Below are 22141 nucleotides of genomic sequence, written 5' to 3' on the forward strand. Positions count from 1 at the left end.
ATGCCACTCTCTGTCCCCCTCCCGGAAGGAGGTCTTCCTGGACAAGGGTCCAGGACAGGCACAGGAAATGGTTCTTCCCCAGAAATGACCTTGACCTCACATTCACCTTGAGGCTGCTCTCATCCTTTCCTCCTGCAGTCGCACAGCATCTCCTGCACAAGGACAAGTGCAGGTGCTCTGGTTCTCAGTCTCTCTATCTGTAGAATGGCACACACACTTGGACTAGAGGAGTCCTCCAAGTCCAAACTCTTTTTATAAAAAAAGTTTCAAACTTTTATTTAAAAAGCTACAAAACTTTTTTTTTAAATTTTCTTTCTTTTTTTCTTTTTTTGAGACAGAGTCTTGCTCTGTCACCCAGGCTGGACTGTAGTGGCACGATCTTGGCTTACTGCAACCTCCACCTCCCGGGTTCAAGCGATTCTCCTGCCCAGGCTCCAGAGTAGCTGGGACTACAGGCAGAGCCACCACACCTGGCTAATTTTTGTATTTTTAGTAGAGACAAGGTTTCATCATGTTGGCCAGGATGGTCTCGAACGCCTGAACTCAGGTGATCCGCCTGCCTCGGCCTCCCAAAGTGTTGGGATTACAGGGATGAGCCACCACGCCCGGTGGTGGCTTGCTCTGCAAGCTCTATTCTTATACAAAATGTTTTTGTTTAATCCCATGTTATGAGGAAACACTGGTACATAAAACATAGGAAATGGAGCAGACCTGGATGAAGGAGTGGCGGTGGGATGGGCCATGGGAGGGGGCTGGGACCCTACCTTTTTGCCTTCTTCTGGCACCTTTGCTCAGACTAAGGGATCAGGTTAAAAAAATTTTTTTTTAATTAAAAACAATTAGAATTCTAACATCTGACTTCACCCCTCCCTAGAGGGCTGGGGGCGGAGTCTCATAAACTAGCCTCCTGAGTTGCTGGGACTACAGGCGCGCGCCACCACGCCCAGCTAATTTTTGTATTTTTAGTAGAGACGGGGTTTCACCATGTTGGCCAGGATGGTCTCATCTCTTGACCTCGTGATCCGCCCACTTCGGCCTCCCAAAATGCTGGGAATACAGCGTGAGCCACCGCGCCCGGCCCCAGCCTTCTTTTTTAGTTTCGTTTGGTCTCCTCCACCTCCCCAAGTTGTTAAATTCTTAGTGGCAGTGATTTAAAAACCAGGATATTCCACATGAAAGTCTGAATTTCTGGTTTCCCTTGGAAAATCAGATCTGACACCTCCCGCCCACATTCCCGCGGGAATCCGAGTTCCTACAAACGGAGCCATCGGCTCCCTCTTCGCTCACAGAGACCAGCCAGGCTGAAGTGCTCCAGGGCCCGCAGAGCTTAGCGGGCCTTTGAGTTGCTAACTGAGGTTCAGGCGCGTCACCACTGTCCTCTGGCGTCCATTTGCGGTATTGCAGGGAAGGTCTTTGCGGGCAGGCCTGGAAGTGGGCAGGACCCTGAATTCTCGGGTCCCAGTGGGACACCGAGGGAGGACAAGCCCTAGCAGAGGGGTATGAGGACCCCAGCTGAATATCCTGACCTGATAGAAAATATTCCTGAGCTGAATTGGCCTTGATTTTCCCCACTCCTCATAAGGGGACCCTCTTCCTTAGGGTCATGACAAATATGTCTAAGATGGGTAAGCGCTGCCCTCTCTGGGCCTCAGTTTCCCCATCTGTAGAGTGATATTTGGACCAGAACAGTAGCTTCCAAGCTCTTTGTTAAGGTTACAGAACTATGACTTTTTGGGCTCAAATAGATCTGCAAATGCCTGTTGAATAAGTCCAGAGAGCACTGATTTCCAATGGTAAGACTTAATTTTGCAAAAAATGTTATAGGACAAAGATATGCTCACTGTAGAGAATCTGGAAAGCAACTAAGGATGGAAGGAATTTTAAACCACCCACTATCCCATTGCCTGAGACAATCACTGGTGACATTCTGAAATATTTCCTTCCAACTTCCAACTTTTTTTTTGGTCCTTCTTTCCTTCCTTCCTTCCTTCCTTCCTTCCTTCCTTCCTTCCTTCCTTCCTTCCTTCCTTCCTTCCTTCCTTCCTTCGTTTTTCTTTCTTTTTCTTTCTTCTTTTTTTGCAGGATCTCACACTGTCACCCAGGCTGGAGTACAGTGGCTTGATCTTGGCTCACTCCAGCCTCAATCTCCCTGGCTCAGGTGATCGTCTCATCTCAGCCTCCAGAGTGGCTGGGACTACAGGCACACACCACCACACCCAGCTAATTTTTGTATTTTTTGCAGAGATGAGGTTTCAGTGTGTTGCCCAGGCTGGTGTCAATGGTTGTGCTTTTCAAATGTAACATAGTTATTATCATATAAAGTTGTGTATCTGATTGAAGCAAATGTCCTTTTGGTTACTCGTTCATCCAGCAAGTATTTATTGAGCACCTACTGCGTTCCAGACACTGCTCTAGACCCTGATAATGTGGCAGTGAACAGGATGACAAAAAGTTCAGCCCTCACAGAACTGCTGTTTTGGCAGGGAGAAACAGACAATAAACAACAAGCCCAATACTTACGTAAGTTATAGAGTAAGTTAGAAAGGGAGATGCAGTGTGGGTAAAAAGATGAAGTCGCACAGCGTAAGACGGGTTTTGGAGCCGGTTGGGGCCCCGGGCAGTTGAGAAGTTAAGATCTGAGTGAACTTACAGGTGAAGGATTGAGCTGTCCAGATCTCTGGGGAAGAACGCTCCAGGCAGAGGAAACAGCAACAGCACACGCAAAGGCCCTGACGCAGCTTGCAAGCAGGCCAGGGTGTCTGGCGCACAGAGAGAGACATGGGAGGGAGAGGGGATGAATCTGGGAGGTGAGGGCTGCTGGGCACATTTCCAGAAGAGGTTTTGGCCATTTCTCAGAGAGGCAGGGGCCATGGGAGATCTCCGAGCAGGGGAGCGGTGCCATCGACTCAGGTTATTGATGCAATTTGCAAAATAGTAAAAAGTCTCAATGTGAATCCCATCACCTGGATATGGCATTGGTTCATCTTTTTGGTAGAGATCCCCCACCCCACCCCTGCCCTGTAAAGATCGGAAGACTCACTTCCTTTCTTTTTTCCTTTTTCCAAAATCATATATTTTTTTCCGATTAGAATTTTTTTTCACAATTTGGAAAATACTAAAAAGTATAAATACAACCTCCAAATCAGGAATAATTCCATCACACGGACATAGCATTGTTTCATCTTTTTGGTAGAGTTCTTTCTGCTTTTTTAAAAATTAAAAATTTTTAGCACTTTGGGAGGCCGAGGTGGGCGGATCACTTGAGCCCAGGAGTTTGAGACCAGCCTGGGCAACATGGCGAAACCCCATCTCTACAAAAAATACAAGACACAAAAAGAAATTAGCTGGGTGTGATGGTGTGTGCCTCTAGTCCCAGCTACTCAGAAGGCTGAAGTGGGAGGATTGCTTGAGCCTGGGAGGTCGAGGCTGTAGTGAGCCAAGATCGCACCACTGCACTCCATCTGGGCAAGAGAGCAAGACCCTGTCTCAAAAAAAAAAAAATTTAAAAATTAAAGGAGATGAGCCTTCCAATCTTTACAGGGGGAAAAAAAGCAAGATAGAGCTCTTACCAAAAACATGAAGCAATGCTATGTTAGGAGATGGGATTCTTCCTGATTTGGGTTTGTATTTGTTCTTTGTAGAATTTTCCAAATTGTGTAAATATATTATTATACACCTGTGGGAAAGTGTAGGCAATTCAGAAAAACATAAAGAAAAAGTAAAAGTCACCAAGATATCATGACCTGGAGATAATTAACATTTTATTGACACTGCTTTATGAAGGCAGTGTGTGGTTACACGTTTGCACACATAGACAGACACACACACACACGCCCATTTACAAGCCTGTTTGTAGTACTAGATCATACTAGACAGTTCATGCTATTCTGTAAACGTTTTGTTTCCCAACAACTTACCATAGATACCTCCCAACATCTTCTATTTTTTTCCTCCTTTTCTTTTTTTTTTTTTTTTTTTTTTGAGACAGGATCTTGCTCTATCGCCTGGCTGGAGTGCAGTGGCGGGATCTCGGCTCATTGCAACCTCCGCCTCCTGGGCTCAAGGGATTCTCCTACCTCAGCCTCCCGAGTATCTGGGGACTACAGGCATGTACCACTACATCTGGCTAATTTTTGTATTTTTTTGTAGAGATGGAATATCACAATATTGCCCAGGCAGGTCTCAAACTCCTGGGCTCAAGTGATCTGCCCACCTTGGCCTCCCAAAGCACTGGGATAACAGGCATGAGCCACCATGCCCAGCCTGCTGTGTTTTTTTAATGGCTTCTGGAGACCCTAGATGCTCTGTAGCATGGAATCACAAGATGCTTCTTAAAAATGCACATTCCAGGCTGGGTGTGGTGGCTCATGCCTGCAGTCCCAGCTACTCAGGAGGCTGAGATGGGAGGATCGCTTGAACCCGAGAGGCAGAGGTTGCAGTAAGCTGAGATCACACCACTGCACTCCAGCCTGGGCAACAGAGCAAGAGCTTGTCTCAAAACAAACAAACAAACAAACAAACAAACAAACCAAAAAACAAAAAAAATGCATTCCTGTCCAGGCACAGTGGCTCACACCTGTAATTCCAGCATGTTGGGAGGCTGAGGCAGGAAGATTACTTGAGCACTGGAGTTCAAGACCAGCCTGGGCAACATAGTGAGACTCCGTGTCTACAGAAAAATTTTTAAAAAATTAGTCAGGCATGTGCCTGTGGTCCCAACTGCTTGAGAGGCTGAGATGGGAGGATCGCAGTCAAGGCTTCAGTGAGCCGTGATTATGCCACAGCACTTCAGCCTGGGTGACAGAGAGAGACCCTTTCTCAAAAAAAAAAAAAAAAAAAAAGAAGAAGAAGAAAAGCACATTCCCCAGAACCCCTCCCATACCTACAGACATAGCTTCTCTGTGGATGGGCCAGGAATCTGCATTTTAGCCATATTTTAACCCAAGACCCTCTCCCCTGTTTTATGAATGTGCCATCATTAACTGACCCCCTATCAGTAGACATTTGATTGTCCCCAACTGGGGGCCACTATAAACAAGAATACAACAGACAGCCCTGAGGGTCCACCTTTGCCGACCTGTTCTGTTATTTCCATGGGACAGACTCCTAGGCATGAGATTGGTCGGTCGAAAGGTGTGAGCTTTTTTCTATCAGAGCACATGGTTTAAGCCCAGTGGTTCTCAAAGCTGGTCCCTGGGACAGCAGTGGCAGCATCACCTGGGAACTTGTTAGAAATGTACATTCTTAGGCCCCACCCAGACCAACAGAATCGGAAGCCCTGGGCATGGGTTCTGGCATTCTGCATTTTCACAAGCCTCCAGGTGACTCTGGAGAGTCTGAGAGTATGCTCAGGTTTGAGAACTCCCACTCCACAGCCACACTCTTCAATACCATAGCCACCAGCCACGTGTGGCTTTTTAAGTTACATTAACTGAAATTAAACAATATCTAAAAATTAGTTCATCAGAGGTTGGGCACAGTGGCTCTGTGCCACTGTGGGCCTGTAATCCCAGCACTTTGGGAGGCTGAGGCGGAAGGATTGCTTGAGTGTAGGAGTTCGAGACCAGCCCGGGCAACATAGTGAGACCCCCCATCTCTATAAAAATAAAAAAAGAAAAAAAAGAAAAATTAGTTCCTAGTGGCACCAGTCATATTTCAAGTGCTCAGCACCATGTGGCTAGTGACTACAGTATTAGGGTGGATAGGACATTACCATCAGAACAGAAAATTCTATTGACTGCATTGTTCTAGAATTTTCCAGAAGAGGCTGAGGCGGGCGGATCGCCTGAGGTCAGGAGTTTGAGACCAGCCTGACCAATATGGTGAAGCCCCCATCTCTAGTAAAAATACAAAAAGCTGGGCTTGGTGGTGCGTGCCTGTAGTCCCAGCTACTCAGGAGGCTGGGGCAGGAGAATCGCTTGAACCTGGGAGATCTAGGAGGTTGCAGTGAGCCAAGATTGTGCCATTGCACTCCAGCCTAGGCATCGCAGCGAGACTTCATCTCAAAAAAAAAAGATAAAGAAAGAAAGGATGACTCACCCCTCCCACCCCCTTTCATGCTCTCACCCTCCTTTTACTTAAGAAACATCAGAAGAAAAAAAAATAATAACCCCACGGGCCTAAGAGGGGCCCAGGTGTTTGGGGCTCTTTGAAACGGATCATTGAAATCCTCATCGACTCTTTGAGGCGCACACTTATTTTTGGGAGCAGTGGGGAGGGAAGAGCCCACTTTTCCTCATGGTCTTGTTCTCTCCCGAGCAGGACGAGATCATCCTCTTGCGATCCCAGCAGAAATTGTCCCACGATGACAACCACTCTGTCCTGAGACAGCTGGAGGTGAGAACAGGATCGGGAGGGAGGGATGCGGGAGCTTCTGTTGTCTGTCTCTGTGTCTGACGGGAGCTTCTGTCTGTCTGTCCGTCGGGCATCTGTCAGCTGCTTCTCAGGAGCAGTAAGAGGTCTGCCCCATGACTCAGGCTGGCCTGGATCACATCCAGACATGTCCTGACGTTTTGTCCCGGGCAGCCTCTGCTACAATGTCATTGTGGAATTCTGTCCCTTCTTCCATTCTAAAGCCCCCACCCCCCTTTTCAGGGAGTCCAGCCCGGGCTCTTGGGCCTGCAATTTCATCCCTGATGGGCTCCTTCCACATGGATCTCTGCCTCTTTCCCTCTTTCTTCCCCTTGTCCTGCCTGTGCCCTGTTCTCAATCAGTAATAGCAAATACACACACTTCTGGAGTAATTACCATGTACGAGGCGCCGGGCTAAGAGCTTGGCTTGCACTTTCATTGAATCCTGGTGGCAGGTGCTGTTGATCTCGTCGTTTTACAGATGCAGAGGCTAAGGTTCACGGAAGTTAAGTCACTTGACCAACATCAAGGAGCTGGGATATTGTATACGTTTTGAGCTTTATTCAGCTGCTAATAATAGGGACTCCAAATAATAGTGGCTTAAGCAAGATACAAGTTTATTTACTTTAAGAAATAAGTCTGCCACCCTGGTGAAACCCCATCTCTACTAATAATACAAAAATTAGCCAGGTGGTAGTGGCGCACACCTGTAATCCCAGCTACTTGGGAGTCTGAGGCAGGAGAATTGCTTAAGCCTGGGAGGTGGAGGTTGCAGTGAGCCGAGATCGTGTCACTGCACTGGGCAACACAGTGAGACCCTGTCTCAAAAAAAAAAAAAAAAAGGAAATAAGTCTGGAAATAGGCACTTCAGGGCTGGTATGGCACCTTTATGATGTCATCAGTGACCTGGGCTCCGTCTTTCTGTTTTGCCATCCTTAGTGGGTGACTTATATTCCAAGGGCACCTCATGGTTGCATCGTAGCTGCCATAGATCCAGCCGTTGCATATACATTCCAGATAGGAAGAAAGTGGGAGCTGCAACAACAACAACAAAAATCCTCACTAGCAGAGTCAGACAGCTTAAAAGTGCCTTCCCAGAAGTCTCAGCCAATGACTTCTGTATTTAAACTTCATTGGCCACCCCTATTGCAAGAGAGGTTTGGAAATGTAACTTTTAGTTGGTCACATTGCCACCCTAAATACAATCAGAGTTTTGTTACTGAGGTATAAGGAAAGAGTGGATAGCATATGTCTGACAAAGACCTGGCAACTGCCCTCCGGAGTCATTTCCCTTCCCTTCTTTGCGGCTGTTTTCTGCTTTTTTTGTCTGACGCGCACCTGGGAGACAGGGATGGCCGCCAGGGTGTTATTCTCCTCTAGGCCACTGGATGGCAGCAAAGCACATGCTGCCCATTGAGGTGCTCAGAGCGGCATCTCCCGGATATCTGGGTATGGGGAATAACAGGGTTCCAGGCAGGGTCCAGGTCCACGGAGACCCTCCCCAAGCTGGGCAGATGCCTGGGGCCCACGTCCTTCACTCGGGGCCACCCAGAATCCAGACTCTTGTTGAGGTTGAGACTGGCGCCCCTCTACATCTTGGCGTTTGGAACAGGCTGATCAGGCAAAGCCAAACATCTCCCTCGCCTCTGCCTGAAGCCCCACCGCTAGCTTTTTGTTACTTTGGCTTTAGCATGACTTTGAGGGGCTTCTTTTCAAATGCAGATACTCTAAGCAGGATAATTGTTTTTGTTTGTTTCTTTGTTTGTTTAGACGGAGTCTTACTCTGTTGCCCAGGCTGGAGTGCAGTGGCGCGATCTCCGCTCACTGCAACGTCCACCTCCCGGGTTCAAGCGATTCTCCTGCCTCCGCCCCCGAGTAGCTGGGATTACAGGTGCACACCACCATGCCGAGATAACTTTAATTTTTAATTTATTTTTTAATTTTAATTAATTAATTAATTAATTTTGAGACGGAGTCTCGCTCTGTCGCCCAGGCTGGAATGCAGTGGCACGATCTCGGTTCACTGCAACCTCCACCTCCCGGGTTCATGCGATTCTCCTGCCTCAGCCTCCCGAGTAGCTGGGATTACAGGCACGTGCCACCATACCCGGTTAATTTTTTGTATTGTTAGTAGAGACGGGGTTTTACCATGTTGGCAAGGCTAGTCTCCAACTCCTGACCTTAGGTGATCCGCCCGCCTTGGCCTCCCAAAGTGCTGGGATTATAGGCGTGAGTCACTGTGCCTGGCCAGAATCAGTCTTGATAGCAATAGACTCACAGATGTTTCCTACCCCCTGCTAAAGATCACTTCCACCTGCTCTATTCTTGAAACCCTTTATTTCATCATCTCCTTCCCTTTGGGAGAAGTGGTGGGACCACATCCATCATGGGAGGGTTTTGCATAGGAATTAAGCAACCAAGCTCTGGGAGCCTGGCTATGACTTGCAGAAAAGTCACTTCCTAGCTCTGTGACGTTGAGGTAGTGACTCAACCTCTCTGAGCCTCAGTTTCCACATCTGTAAAATGGGGATAATAATCATACCTACTTCTTAGGGCTGTGAAGGTTGAATAAAATCACACATGTATACATTTGGCACACTGTAATGCAGAGAGCTGTACATTGTAGCTATTATTATTGTTGTTGTTATCATGTGAGCCAGAAAAACTGGTAAGTCACCCTCACTTTGTTACTAAATAATTGCCAAAGTGAAGAGTTGAGCTCAAGGTCAAGCCTTTGGATGAGCTTGGTACAGGGAAGCTAAACCTGAATTCACTTTTCTTCTCTGGCCTCAACATTCCTCATCTGAAAACTAGGCCGATTATGAGGCTGAGTTCAGATGATGTGTGTAAAGTACCTGGAATATTTTAGGAGCTAGACATGTATTATAACCACCACATCAAGCTGAACATTGACTTTTAAAAAATGAATCCTGTGATTTTTTTAAAATTGTGATTTTCTTAAATGCACTTTTATTATAATTTATTTATTTTTTGAGACAGAGTCTTGCTCTGTCGCCCAGGCTGGAGTGCAGTGGTGGGATCACAGCTCACTGCAGCCTCAACCTCCCAGGCTCAAGTGACTCTCCCACCTTAGCCTCCTAGTGTGCTGGGATTATAGGCGTGAGCCACCATGCCTGGCCTAATGCATCTTTAGAAAGGGCCGCTCTTGTCATATGGGAAATTTGCAGCCCTGGGAACTAAACATTCTAGTAGCCGGGTGGAGGAAGCCACCTGATGTGCTGGTTGAGAGACTGAGCTCAATTCCTGGCTTCCTTCTCCTGGCTGTATGCCTCAGAGCCTCAGTTTTCTCACCTGTAAAATAGGGGTGTGAATAGGGCCGACCCCTTGAGATCATTATCCGGGATGGTGCGTGCAGAGTTCACCAGTGGGAATGGGGCTGGTTCACCCAGGGTCCAGTTCACCTTTGCAAGCTAAGATCTCTGAGGGAGAGGCAGGAATCAGGGAAGGAAATACCCTAGAACAGTGATCCTCAGTCCAGCTGCACGTCACAATCACCTGGGAGGCTTTAATGAGAACTCCCAGATGCCCAGGCTGCGCCCCAGGCCAATTAAGACTCTGAATCACTGAGGGTGGAGTTGGGCAGCAAATATTTTTAAAGTTCCCAGGTGATACCAGTGTGAAGCCAAGGCTGAGATCCAACAGGCTGGCAGAGCTTCTCAGACTTTACTGTGCACCAGGATCACCGGGAGGCTTGCTAAAACCAGGTGGCCTGGTCCACCCCCAGGGCCTTTGACTGAGTAAGACTGAGGTGGGGGCCAAGAATATGCATTTCTAACAAGTTCCCAGGTGAAGCTGATGCTGCTTGTCCTGGGACCACACTTTAAGAACCACTGGGCTAGGGCAATGTGTTTTAAACTGTGAATGGTAAAATCAGTTTATTGGATGGTAGCCAACATTTTAAAATAGTGAGATAGAACAGAACAGAAGAGAAAATATTAGAACACATAATAAAAATATTGATTCGAGGCTGGGTGCAATGGCTCACATCTGTTAATCCCAGAACTTTGGGAGGCTGAGGCAGGAGGATCATTTGAGCCCAGGAGTTTGAGACCAGCTTGGGCAACATGGTAAGAACTTGTCTCTAATTTTATTAAAAAAAAAAAAAAAGAATATTGATTTGAACTGGCATGGTGGCTCACACCTGTAATCCCAGCACTTTGGGATACTGAGGCAGGAGGATTTCTTCAGCTCAGGAGTTCAAGACCAGTCTGGGCAACACAGCAAGATCCCATCTCTACAAAATTAAAAAAAAACCCAAAAACTTAGCTGGGTGTGGTGTTGCATGCTTGTAGTCCCATCTGCTCATGAGGCTGAGGCAGGAGGATCACCTGAGTCCAGGAGTTCAAGGCTGCAGTGAGCTATGATCACATGACTGCACTCCAGCCTGGGTGACAGAGCAAGACCCCAACTGTGCTTTTTTAAAATATTGATTTGTGAAATTTTATATTCATTTGATTAGATAATATGGATAAATCTACATACACAACATACGTATGTATGTTTGTATGTGTTGGCTGCAATGTATTTCTTCCTGTGGACCACCTTGTTTTTTTTTTTTTTTTTTGAGATAGAGTCTCGCTCTGTCACCCAGGCTGGAGTGCAGTGGCATGATCTCGGGCTCACTGCAATTTCCGTCTCCTGGATTCAAGCAATTCTCCTGCCTCTTCCCCAGTAGCTGGAATTACAGGCACATGCCACCATGCCCAACTAATTTTTGTATTTTTAGTAGAGACAGGGTTTCACCATGTTGGCCAGGATGGTGTTGAACTTCTGGCCTCAGGTGGATCACCATTTTTTAAAAAATGAGTGAACTGGCTGAGCGAGGTGGCTCATGCCTGTAATCTCAGCACAATGGGAGGCCAAAGTGGGAGGATTGCTGGAATCCAGGAGTTCGAGACCAGCCTGGGCAACGTGGTGAAACCCCATCTCTAAAAAAAATACAAAAATTAGCTGGGCATGGTGGCGTCTGCCTGTAGTCCCAGCTACTCTGGAGGCTAACGTGGGAGGATAGCTTGAGTGCAGGAAGTTGAGGCTGCAGTGAGCCGAGATTGGGCCACTGTACTCCAGCCTGGAGCCTAGGTGACAGAGTGAGACCTTGTCTCAAAAATAAATAAATAAAAATTAAAGAGTCAACAGCTTTTAAAAAATATTGTAGGCTGGGCGTGGTGGCTCATGCCTGTAATCTCAGCACTTTGAGAGGCCAACGTGGGCAGATCACTTGAGATCAGCAGTTTGAGAGCAGCCTGCGTCTCTACTAAAAATACAAAAAAAAAAAAAAAAAGTTAGCTGGGCATGGTGGCACCTGCTTGTAATCCCAGCTACTTGGGAGGCTGAGGCATGAGAATTGCTTGAACCTGGGAGGCAGAGGTTGCAGTGAGCTGAGATCATGCCACTGCACTCTGGCCTGGGTGACAGAGTGAGACTCTGTCTCAAAAAAAAAAAAAAAAAATTCGTAATCCTGTAGACATGTAGACACACATAGACAAGTAAGTGAAGCAAAACTTACATTGAACAATATTTACTATTACGACCCTCAATGTACACTAGTATTTTTTCTTCTCTCCCTTTCATTGCTATTCTATTTTATTTTATTTCTTTAAAATTTGATGGGAACCCATTTAATTGATCTCGTGTCCCCTCAGAGGTTTGAAAACCCGCAGTTTGGAGACCCTGACCCCAGAGGGTCCCAAACACCCTGCCCACTGAAAGTCCTCCTGAGCAGGTGGGAATTGGGGTCTGCCACCAGGATAAACTGAGGAAGACCACGGAGGAGGCAGATATGTATGAGAGCAAGTACGGGGAGGTCAGCAAGACCTTGGATCTATTGAAGAACTCAGTGGAGAAACTGTTCAAGAAGATAAACTGTGACGCCACCAAGATCCTGGTGCAGTTAGGGGAGACGGGGAAAGTCACTGACATCAACCTTCCGCAGTATTTTGGTGAGTCAAGCTGGGGCCCGTTGGAGTCTTAGGAAACATTTCCAGAACTTTCTGTGACTGAGCATAAGGCCTTGCTCTTATGGAGTAGTGAGCTTTGTGGCAAAGTGTGTGGGCACTAAAGCCAGCCTGCCTGGGTTTGAATCCTGGGTCTACACTTACCAGCTCTGGAGCCTTAAGCAGGTTTGTTTTTTGGTTTTGCTTTGTTTCTTTTGAGACAGGGTCTTGCTCTGTTGTCCAGGCTGGAGTGCAGTGGCCCAATCATGGCTCACTGCCATCTCAACCTACTGGGCTCAGGCGATCCTCCCACCTCAGCCTCCAAAGTAGCTGGGACTACAGCCATGCACCACCATACACGGCTGATTTTTTGTATTTTTTGTAGAGACAGGATCTTGTCACATTGCCCAGGCTGGTCTCAAACTCCTTTGCTCAAGTGATCCGCCCTCCTTGGCCTCCCAAAGTGCTGGGATTACAGGTATGAGCCACTGCACCTGGCCAGGGCAGGTTTCTGAACCTCACTGTGCTTCAGATTTTTGATCGACAAAAATGGGTCTCTTTTAATGCCTTCTTTTTTTTTTTTTTTTAAATTGGTGTGAACCCAGTATCTACCTCATAAGACTGTTGGGAGGCTTAAATAAATGTATAGTTATTAGAGAAAAATGATATTATCATATCAATAAATGTAGAAGCATTTGATAAAATTCAACATCCATTCATGATTTTAAAAAAGAAAACTCTCGGCAAACTAGAACTAGAAGGAAACTTTCTTAACTTGATAAAAGACATCTACAAAAAACCACCCAAAACTAGGCCAGGCACAGTGGCTCACACCTGTAATTCCAGCACTTTGGGAGGCCGAGGCGGGCAGATCACTTGAGGTCAGGAGTTCAAGACCAGACTGGCAAACATGGTGAAACCCTGTCTCTACTAAAAATACAAAAATTAGCTGGGTGTGGTGGTGTACACTGTAGTCCCAGATACTCGGGAGGCTGAGGCAGGAGGATTGCTTGAACCTGAGAAGTGGAGGTTGTAGTCAGTCAAAATTGTGCCACTGCACTCCAGCCTGGGTAACAGAGCAAGACTCTGTCTCAAGCAAACCAAAAAAATAATAATAATAACACCCAAAACTACAGCGAATCTTATCCTTCCTGGTGGGAGTGGGAAGTGGAATGTTTTTCTCCTAAGATCAGGAACAAGGAAGGGATGTCTGCGTGCTGTCACCATGCCTATTCAGTGCTGTACTGGAGGCCCTAGCCAATGCAATAAAGCACGGAAAAGAAATAAAAGGCACACAAATTAGAAAGGAAGGAATAAAGTGCTCAGAGTAGTGCCTGGCATGTAGCAAATCTATTAGCAATCACATACATTTCTAGGCATTGACCCTAAGCTCAGAGAGGACAGGGAGGGGCATACCTGCATAGATCCTGACAATTTGGAATGAATGGCTTCCACTGCTCCTTGAATTAAACCTCAGATTCTTTTTTTTTTTTTTTTCGAGATGGAGTCTCACTCTGTCACCCAGGCTGGAATGCAGTGGCGCGATCTCAGCTCCCTGCAACCTCTGACTCCCTGGTTCAAGTGATTCTCCTGCCTCAGCCCCCCAAGTAGCTGGGATTATAGGCACACGCCACCACGCCCAGCTAATTTTTGTATTTTTAGTAGAGATGGGGTTTCACCATGTTGGCCAGGATGGTCTCGATCTCCTGACCTCGTGATCCACCCACCTTGGCCTCCTAAAGTGCTGGGATTACAGGCGTGAGCCACTGCGCCCAGCCAAACATCAGATTCTTAGTACACTCTGTGTTTGGGAGGTTCCCCAAACACATTCTAGCCTCCTGGCCACATTCAGTGATTTGCTAGAGGACTTCCAGGACTCAGTATATAGTCACACATATGGCTATGATTTATTACAGTAAAAGGGTACAGAACAAAATTGGCAAAGCAATGTGTTAGTGTGAACCATGTGATAAACCATATAGTGCAAACTATTTAGGCATGGTGAGACACTCTTTTAAAATTTTTTTTAAATTTTGTGGGTACATGGTGTGTATTTTGTAGGGTACATGAGATATTGTGATTCAGGCATGCAGCGCACAACAATCACATCATGGAAAACGGGGCGTCCATCCCCTCAAGCATTTATCTTTTGTGTTACAAACAATTCAATTATACTCTTTTAGTTATTTTAAAATGTACAATTACATTATTTTGACTATAGTCACCCTGTTATGCTATCAAATACTAGTTCTTATTATTTTATCTATTTATTTATTTTTATTTTTTTTTGTAGATATGGGGTCTCGCCATGTTGCCCAGGCTGGCCTCGAACCCCTGTACTCAAGTCATCCCGCTGCCTTGGCCTCCCAAAGTGCTGGGATTACAGGCAGGAGCCATTGTGCCCAGTCTTGCTCATTCTTTCTGTTTTTTTGTATTCATTAACCAGCCCCACCTCCCTCCCACCTGCCACTGACCTTCCCAGCCTCTGATAACCATCCTTCCAGTCTCTATCTCCATGTGTTCATTGTTTTTCATCCTGCAGATAAGTGAGGGCGTGTGAAGTTTGTCTTTCTGTGCCTGGCTTATTTCAGTTAACATAATGACCTCCAGTTCCATCCATGTTGTTGCAAATGACAGGATCTCATTCTTTTTTTGTACATATACATCATGTATATGTACCACATTTTCTTTCTCCTTCCTTCCTTCCTTCATTCCTTCCTTTCTTTCTTTGATGGAATTTTGCTCTCATCACCTAGGCTGGAGTGCAATGGCATGATCTCAGCTCACTGCAACCTCTGCCTCCTGGGTTCAAGTTATTCTCCTGTCTCAGCTTCCTAAGTAGCTGGGATTATAGGCGCCCACCACCACACCTGGCTAATTTTTGTATGTTTAATAGAGATGGGGTTTCACCACGTTGGCCAGGCTGTTCTCAAACTCCTGACCTCAGGTGATCCACCTGCCTTGGCTTCCCAAAGTGCTGGGATTACAGGTGTGAGCCACCACGCCCGGCCACCACATTTTCTTTATCCATTCAGGCGAGCCACTCTTATCAGTTAATGGTGTTGGGAATCCTGCTGAAATCCAGGTTCCCGGATGCCAGCCCAAGCCTGACCTGGTCAGCAAGGCTTTCAGAGGAGAAAGCCTCACCCTGCTGTGTTGACTTTTTTCTGCACACAGCCTATCAGGTTCTTTCTAGCCTGGCCTTGCTTATATTTCTGATCTCCTCTTGTCCTGCTCTGTCCCTGGCTCACCTGTAGCCACACTATCCTCCTCTCGATCCTTCCAAATCCATTGCTGCCCCTGCATCTTGTTCCTACCTTGGGGCCTTTGCACAGGCTGTTCCTGGAAGACCTGTCCCATGCCCAGTTCCTCCACATTCTCAAATCTCAGTTTCATTGTCCTCCCTGCACTGAAGCTGCCCTGTCCCCACCCATCTGAAGCTTCACCCCCTACTCCCCCCGACCACTATTATTCCCTCTCACCGCAGTCCTAGTGTTTAGCATTTACCCAATTTGTCTCTATGGACAGGTTGCTTTCAATATCTGAATCTATGTGGTTCCTGAGATATGATAGCAAATTTTGGTTGCCAATATTATTTATTTATTTATTATTTTTTGAGACAGAGTCTCACTCTGTTGCCCAGGTGGAAGTGCAGTGGCACAATCTTGGCTCACTGCAACCTCTTCCTCCCAGGTTCAAGTGATTCCCCTGCCTCAGCTTCCCGAGTAGCTGGGATTACAGGTGCCCGACACCACGCCCGGCTAATTTTTTTTTTTTTTTTAAGATGGAGTCTCGCTCTGTCACCCAGGCTGGAGTGCAGTGATACAATCTTGGCTCACTGCAGCCTCTGCCTCCCAGGTTCAAATTATTCTCCTGCCTCAGCCTCGCATGTAGCTGGGACTATAGGCCTGAGCAACCACATCCAGCTTGTATTTTCAGTAGAGATGGGGTTTCACCATGTTGGCCAGGCTGGTCTCGAACTCCTGATCTCAAGTGATCTACCCGCCTTGGCTTCCCAGAGTGCTGGGATTACAGGTGTGAGCCACTGCACCTGGCCTAATTTTTGTTTTTTAGTAAGACAGGGTTTCACCATGTTGGCCAGACTGGTCTTGAACTCAAGTGATCCACCTGCCTCAGCCTCCCAAAGTGCTGGGATTACAGGCAGGAGCCATTGTGCCCGGCCTGGATGGTAATATTTTTGATCCCTGATTTTCAGATAGAATAGCAGCAGTCTGGATAGTGTGAGGTTTATTCAAAAAACATACCCAAATCCAGTAGTTATTGAATCAGATAATGAACATCGGGATGGCCAGGGCTGCCTGTAGTGATTGGTTCAATTGTTGAACTTGGCTTTCTTTCTATGCCTCCATACATACTGAAGCTCTGGTAGGGCAAGGGCTGTATTTTTGTTGTTAGTGTTGTCATTGTTTTGTTTTTCCTCCATTGCATCCTTAGCGTCTAGCACGGTGCATGGCGTGGTAGACATTGAGTAATCATTTGCAAATGAATGAATGAATGAGTGAGTGAATGAATGCTCTTGTGACTGCATGGGGCTATGGAGCTACAGTGCAAGGGGATGTCCCCTGAATGAGGCAGGCCAGGGAAGCATTCCTGCAGGTAGCGAGGAGTGACCTGAGTTTTAAAACACCTCTAGGGGGTTATTCAGGAAGTGTGTAGGGAAAGGCATTCTGGCAGAAGGAACAGCATAAGCAAAGGCCTGGAGACTTGAAACAGAGAACACTGGGGCAAGCCAGGAGTTTAAGGTGGGGCTCCCAATTTTTAGTGTAACCTGGTGTTTCTCAACCTTCTTTTCGTCATCATCCTGCTAAGGAGCCTCTCTAGACATATTTTCCTAATTGCCCTCCTTGTGAATGTAACATTTTAATATCATTGAGATACCGTATGTCTGCTTATGTCCTGTGCGTATCTGTGTTGTATACATTAAGAAGTCAGAAGCCAGGCACGATGGCTCACGCCTGTAATTCCAGCACTTTAGGAGGCTGATGCGGAAGGATCACTTGAGCCTAGGAGTTCAAGATCAGCCAGACACAGTGTCTATAAAAAATACAAAAATTAGCTGGGCACGGTGTCATATGTCTTTGGTTGCAGCTACTCGGAAGACTGAAGCAGGAGAATCACTTGAACTGGGAGTTTGAGGTCGCAGTGAGCCAAGATCATGCCACTGCACTTCAGCCTGGGCAACAGAGCCAGACCTTGTCAAAAAAAAAAAAAAGTCAATTATTTTTCTCTCAAGAACCAAATTTCAGCCTCTAAGGGTGAGGAGTGATGTTGTCCTGTTGAGAATGCATAGTGACGCCCAGGAGAAAGCCTTTTCCTTGTCAGAGCCCAGATCCCGCACCTCCTGTACTTCCTGCTCCTCCCCGCCCTCTGCAGTGGTGGCACCACCCACAGTGCCCCCAGGCCCAGGTCTCTCGGCAGCCATCTTGGTCCTGCTTCTTGTTCTCCAGCCATCATTGAAAAGAAGACCAACGACCTGCTGCTGTTGGAGACCTACAGGCGCATCCTGGAAGTGGAAGGGGCAGAGGCTGAGATCCCGCCACCCTTCATCAACCCTTTCTGGGGTGGCTCTGCCCTCCTCAAGCCCCCAGAACCCATCAAAGTCATCCCCCCAGTGCTGGGGGCTGACCCCTTCAGCGACAGGTTGGATGATGGTGAGTTCTCTCTCTCTCAATCTGCACAGGTTGCTAGGGAACCTGTGCCTTCAGGTCTGGGGAGACCGTGTCCAGGTGCCCGAGAGGGTCTGCAGTGTTGAACCTCGGTTTCCTCTCTTTATGAGCTCTTGTGGCCTGCCAGTTCCCTTGGGTGCCATCTTGGCTGTGGTCACTTGGTGTCACTTGCTTGGGGACTTTTCTCTCTATGATGCTAGGGTGACACAGATCCTGAAGTTTAGTTATTTTGGATATTTTTAAAAGTCAAAACTACCTTTTGATCATTTAAAATGAACCTTAAAATATCAAAAGTTTACAAGTTGGCAAGTTATGAGTAAACAGAGTTCCCAGACTCAGTGTCTCATGCTCACCCTATCTATGCTCCTGAGTCTCACTCACCTATGACCACCCTTTCCCTGACCCATTGTGCCTCCAGGACCCATCCTTGGCCCCTCCCCATTTTTGTCCCCTAACCCCACGGTTGAAGCAGCTTCAACCTGGTCCATGCCAGAAGCGAAATGGTCAACTGTGGCTCTTCCAACACCAGCCCATTGATCTTCCTTCTTTTCCAAGGTGGAAACTCACTCATCCTCCTCATGTGGGGAGCCAGGCCTTCACTCTGAAGGTGGGAATCAAATTGACCTCACCTGCTTTTTGGAGAGCAGTTTGGCCACATATATGGGAACCGATCCTTCCAGAAGGACTACTCAAGGGTGGAAGATGAAAGGTGGAGGAGTGGAGGCTGTTCACTGCAGCCCCAAACTGGAAACAAGTATAATGCCCACCCCTTAGAGATTGGTTAAATAAGGTCCAGCTCATCCACCCATGCAGTGGAATTCTAAGCAGCCCCAAAAATAAGGCACAGGGCCAATATGAAGAGACTAGGAAGATGCCCTTGATATTAAGACAAAAAGGGAAAACAGTCAGTTGCACAATTGTCTGGGCATCCTGAGAAGTACTGTATTGTATAATCCCATCTTTCTAAAAACATTCTCTACATATGCATGCAATACACAGGCACACACATGCGTGTGTACACACACACGTGTATGTATATATATGTGTGTGTGTATGTGTATATATGTGTGTGTGTATATATATAATATTATATATAATATATATTATATTATATATAATATATATTATATAAAATATATATTATATTATTATAATATATATTATATAAAATATATATTATATTATTATAATATATATTATATAATATAATATATATTATATATTATAATAATATAATATATAATATATATATAATATATATACTTTTTTTTTGCCAGTAGTCCTCAGTCAGGGGTGATTTACCCTTTATGGGACATTTGGCAATATCTGAAGATATTTTTGGTTGTCACAACTGAAAGTGACGGTGCTGCTGTCATCTAGTGGCCAAGGATGCTGCTAAAAATCTCACAATGCACAGGACAGCACTTCACAACCCTGATACGTAATAAGAGATATAAGACATGTGAGAGGGGGAGGGAGAGGGAGAGAGGGAGGAAGGCTCAGAGGCAGGAAGAGGAGGAGGAGGAGGAGGAGGAGGAGGGAGGGGCGATGAGAGAAAGGGAAGGAGGAAGGTTTCTAGATTATGCATAAAAAACCAAACAGAGGTGTATAAGCCACCTGTTACAGTGGATAATTCTGGATGGTGGTTTGCAAATAATGTTGCATTTCTAAGTTAAACAATTCTGTATTGTTTGAAATTTTCTCTTACAATGACCTTGCATGACTTTAGTAAGTAGGGGAAAAAATCAATTTTTTAAAAGCTGCCCCCATTTCTCTGAGCAGCATTTCAAGTGTGCCAAGGATGTAGAGACCCCCAACAAGCACACGTGCACACACACACATGCACACAACACATGCACACACACACGCACACACAGAGATCCTGTGTGTTTCAGCTGAGGAGACTGAAACGCAGCAGGAGTGAAAGCTAGGTCAGATGCCACCCATCTCAGCACAACTTCCACCGCCCTTTCAGTTCCTAAAAGGTTGGGGGGAGAGGTGGGCCAAGCTGCTGGTTAAGTCGTCCTCACAAGGTCAGAAATGTACAGATACTGTCTTCACATCTGTTCAAGGGAATGTTGATGAACATTAGGTTCTCCCAGCCCACTGGCCTCTATGGCCTACAGGTGTGAATTAGAAGGGCCACTTCTGGGTAGATTAAATTAGAAAAAGTTGCCCCTTCTGGGTAGCTATGGCTCAGCAATCAAGTGGGGGCTGGATTTCAGCCCATCCATCTACCGCTCTCCTCAGGTGTCTTTGTGCAGTGCACATCCTGAACAACTGCACATGGTGGCCCTAACTCCTTAACATTAAACCAGACATTCTTCACATCCTTGTCTGGGAGAAAAACTAGTCATTGTCTGGGCAGCCCCAAGAAGTATATTTCTGTTCATTCTCCCCCTCCTTGAAACCTGAGAATTTCCATGCTCCACTCCCCAGTGCTATGGAGGGACGCCAAACCAGGCTTAGCCCCAGCCCTGGGGTTGATTTCCCAGCACCTCACACAAATCTGATCTTGGTGCAGTGGAACAGCCCCTGGACCACAGCAGCCTTCGGCAGCTGGTTCTCGACAATTATATCCTGAAGGAGAATCGGAGTAAGGAAGTGCGCGGAGACAGCCTGCCTGAGAAGGTGGATGACTTCAGATCCAGGAAGAAAGTAACCATGTGAGGTGCATGCATGGGGCCACCTTTGCAACATAACCGAAAGAATAAATGTTTTGTTCTGTAGCCTCGTGCCTGTCACACACATTACTAAGGGCTTTGGGTACTGGGGCCACCTCTGGGCTGGGGCCGAGGAGCGAGAAGTAAAAGCGGGAACAGGGAGTGGGAACCATGTGAGTCCATCAAGGCCCCTGGAAACCTCTGAGCTGGAGACCAGCACAGGCCACCCCCAGATATGCAGAGACATGGATGCAGATGCGGTCCACCAGATGTAACAGGGACTAGCCCGGGGGAGGGGCCATGCTGGAGCCAAAGTGTGGATCCTGAGACGCCCCTGGCCACCCGAGGTGTGGCAAACACTCACAAATGGGAAGTGGGAGCTGGGGGCGTGCTGGATCTGCTACTCTGGGTGTGTCTGTGTACATGTGTGTATATCTGTGTTTCTGAGTGTCTGTGTCTCTGTGTGTTTGTATCTATGTGTCTGTATATATGTCTGTGTATATCTCTTTGTGTATCTGAGTGTGTCTCTGTGTCTGTGTGTCCATGTATGTGTGTACCCGTGTGTGTCTCAGTATCTGTGTGCATCTCCATATGTCTCTGTGTCTCTGTTTCTGTGTGTCTCTGCGTGTCTGCACCGGTGTGTGTCTCTGTATATCTCTGTGTCCGTGTGTGTCTCTGCATGTCTGTATCTGCGTGCATCTCCGTATGTCTCTGTGTCTCTGTCTCTGTGTGTCTCTGCATGTCTGCACCTGTGTATGTCTCTGTGTGTCCCTGTCTATGTGTCTCTGTATGTTTCTGTGGCTCTCTCTGTGTGTGTCTCTGTGTGTCCCTATCTGTGTGTCTCTGTGTGTGTCTCTGTATGTTTCTGTGTCTCTCTCTCTGTGTGTCTCTGCATGTCTGTATCTGTGTGCATCTCTGTGTCTCTGTGTGTGTCTCTGTATGTCTCTGTGTGTCCCTGTCTGTGTGTCTCTGCGTGTCTGTATCTGTGTGTGTCTCTGTATCTCTGTGTGCATCTCTGTATGTCCCTGTGTCTCTGTCTCTGTGTGTTCTGTATGTCTCTGCAAGTCTGTACCTGTTCTTGGGATTCTCTTTTTTTTTTTTTTTGAGCCGGAGTTTGGCTCTGTTGCCCAGGCTGGAGTGATCTCAGCTCAGTGAGTGGTGTGATCTCAGCTCACTGTGTATCTGTGTGCATCTCTGTATCTCTCTGTGTGTCTCTGCATGTCTCTGTCTCTGCGTGTGTCTGTCGTGGGTGAGCATGTCACTGTGGAGCTGAGTCCAGGGTGTCTTGCCCAGAACCACGCACTGCCCTGGAGTGTCCTGAGTCCCGCCTTCTTGGTGCCGGACTGCATCTCTGACCACAGGAGCCCGGGTATGAGGCTCTCGGCCTGGACCAACTCTGGAGTGCAGGGAAGCCGTGAGGGGCGAGGGTCACCACAGGGTGTGGGGTGTCCTGGGTCATGGGGATGGGGCCATGACTCCCCTGGGT

At 46.9% G+C, this 22141-nt stretch overlaps 1 protein-coding gene across 8 annotated transcripts in view; it reads left to right on the forward strand.

Annotated features, from left to right (window-relative positions):
- Window positions 1-20721, forward strand: part of CCDC63 (coiled-coil domain containing 63) — a 63050-nt gene extending 42329 nt beyond the window's left edge. For 7 of the 8 annotated variants that reach the window (XM_011538001.3, XM_011537999.2, XM_047428443.1 and 4 more), the window contains 4 exons: window positions 6262-6336; window positions 12119-12311; window positions 17774-17977; window positions 20517-20721. In XM_011538001.3, coding sequence (XP_011536303.1) covers window positions 6262-6336; window positions 12119-12311; window positions 17774-17977; window positions 20517-20662 — 618 coding nt within the window. In that variant the 3' untranslated portion in view covers window positions 20663-20721. Of the gene's footprint in view, window positions 1-6261; window positions 6337-12118; window positions 12312-17773; window positions 17978-20431 lie in introns of all 8 variants that reach the window. The other variant, XM_006719263.3, reaches the window with a different exon arrangement.

Source organism: Homo sapiens, chromosome 12 (genome assembly GCF_000001405.40).
Source record: "Homo sapiens chromosome 12, GRCh38.p14 Primary Assembly".
NCBI lineage: Eukaryota > Metazoa > Chordata > Mammalia > Primates > Hominidae > Homo > Homo sapiens.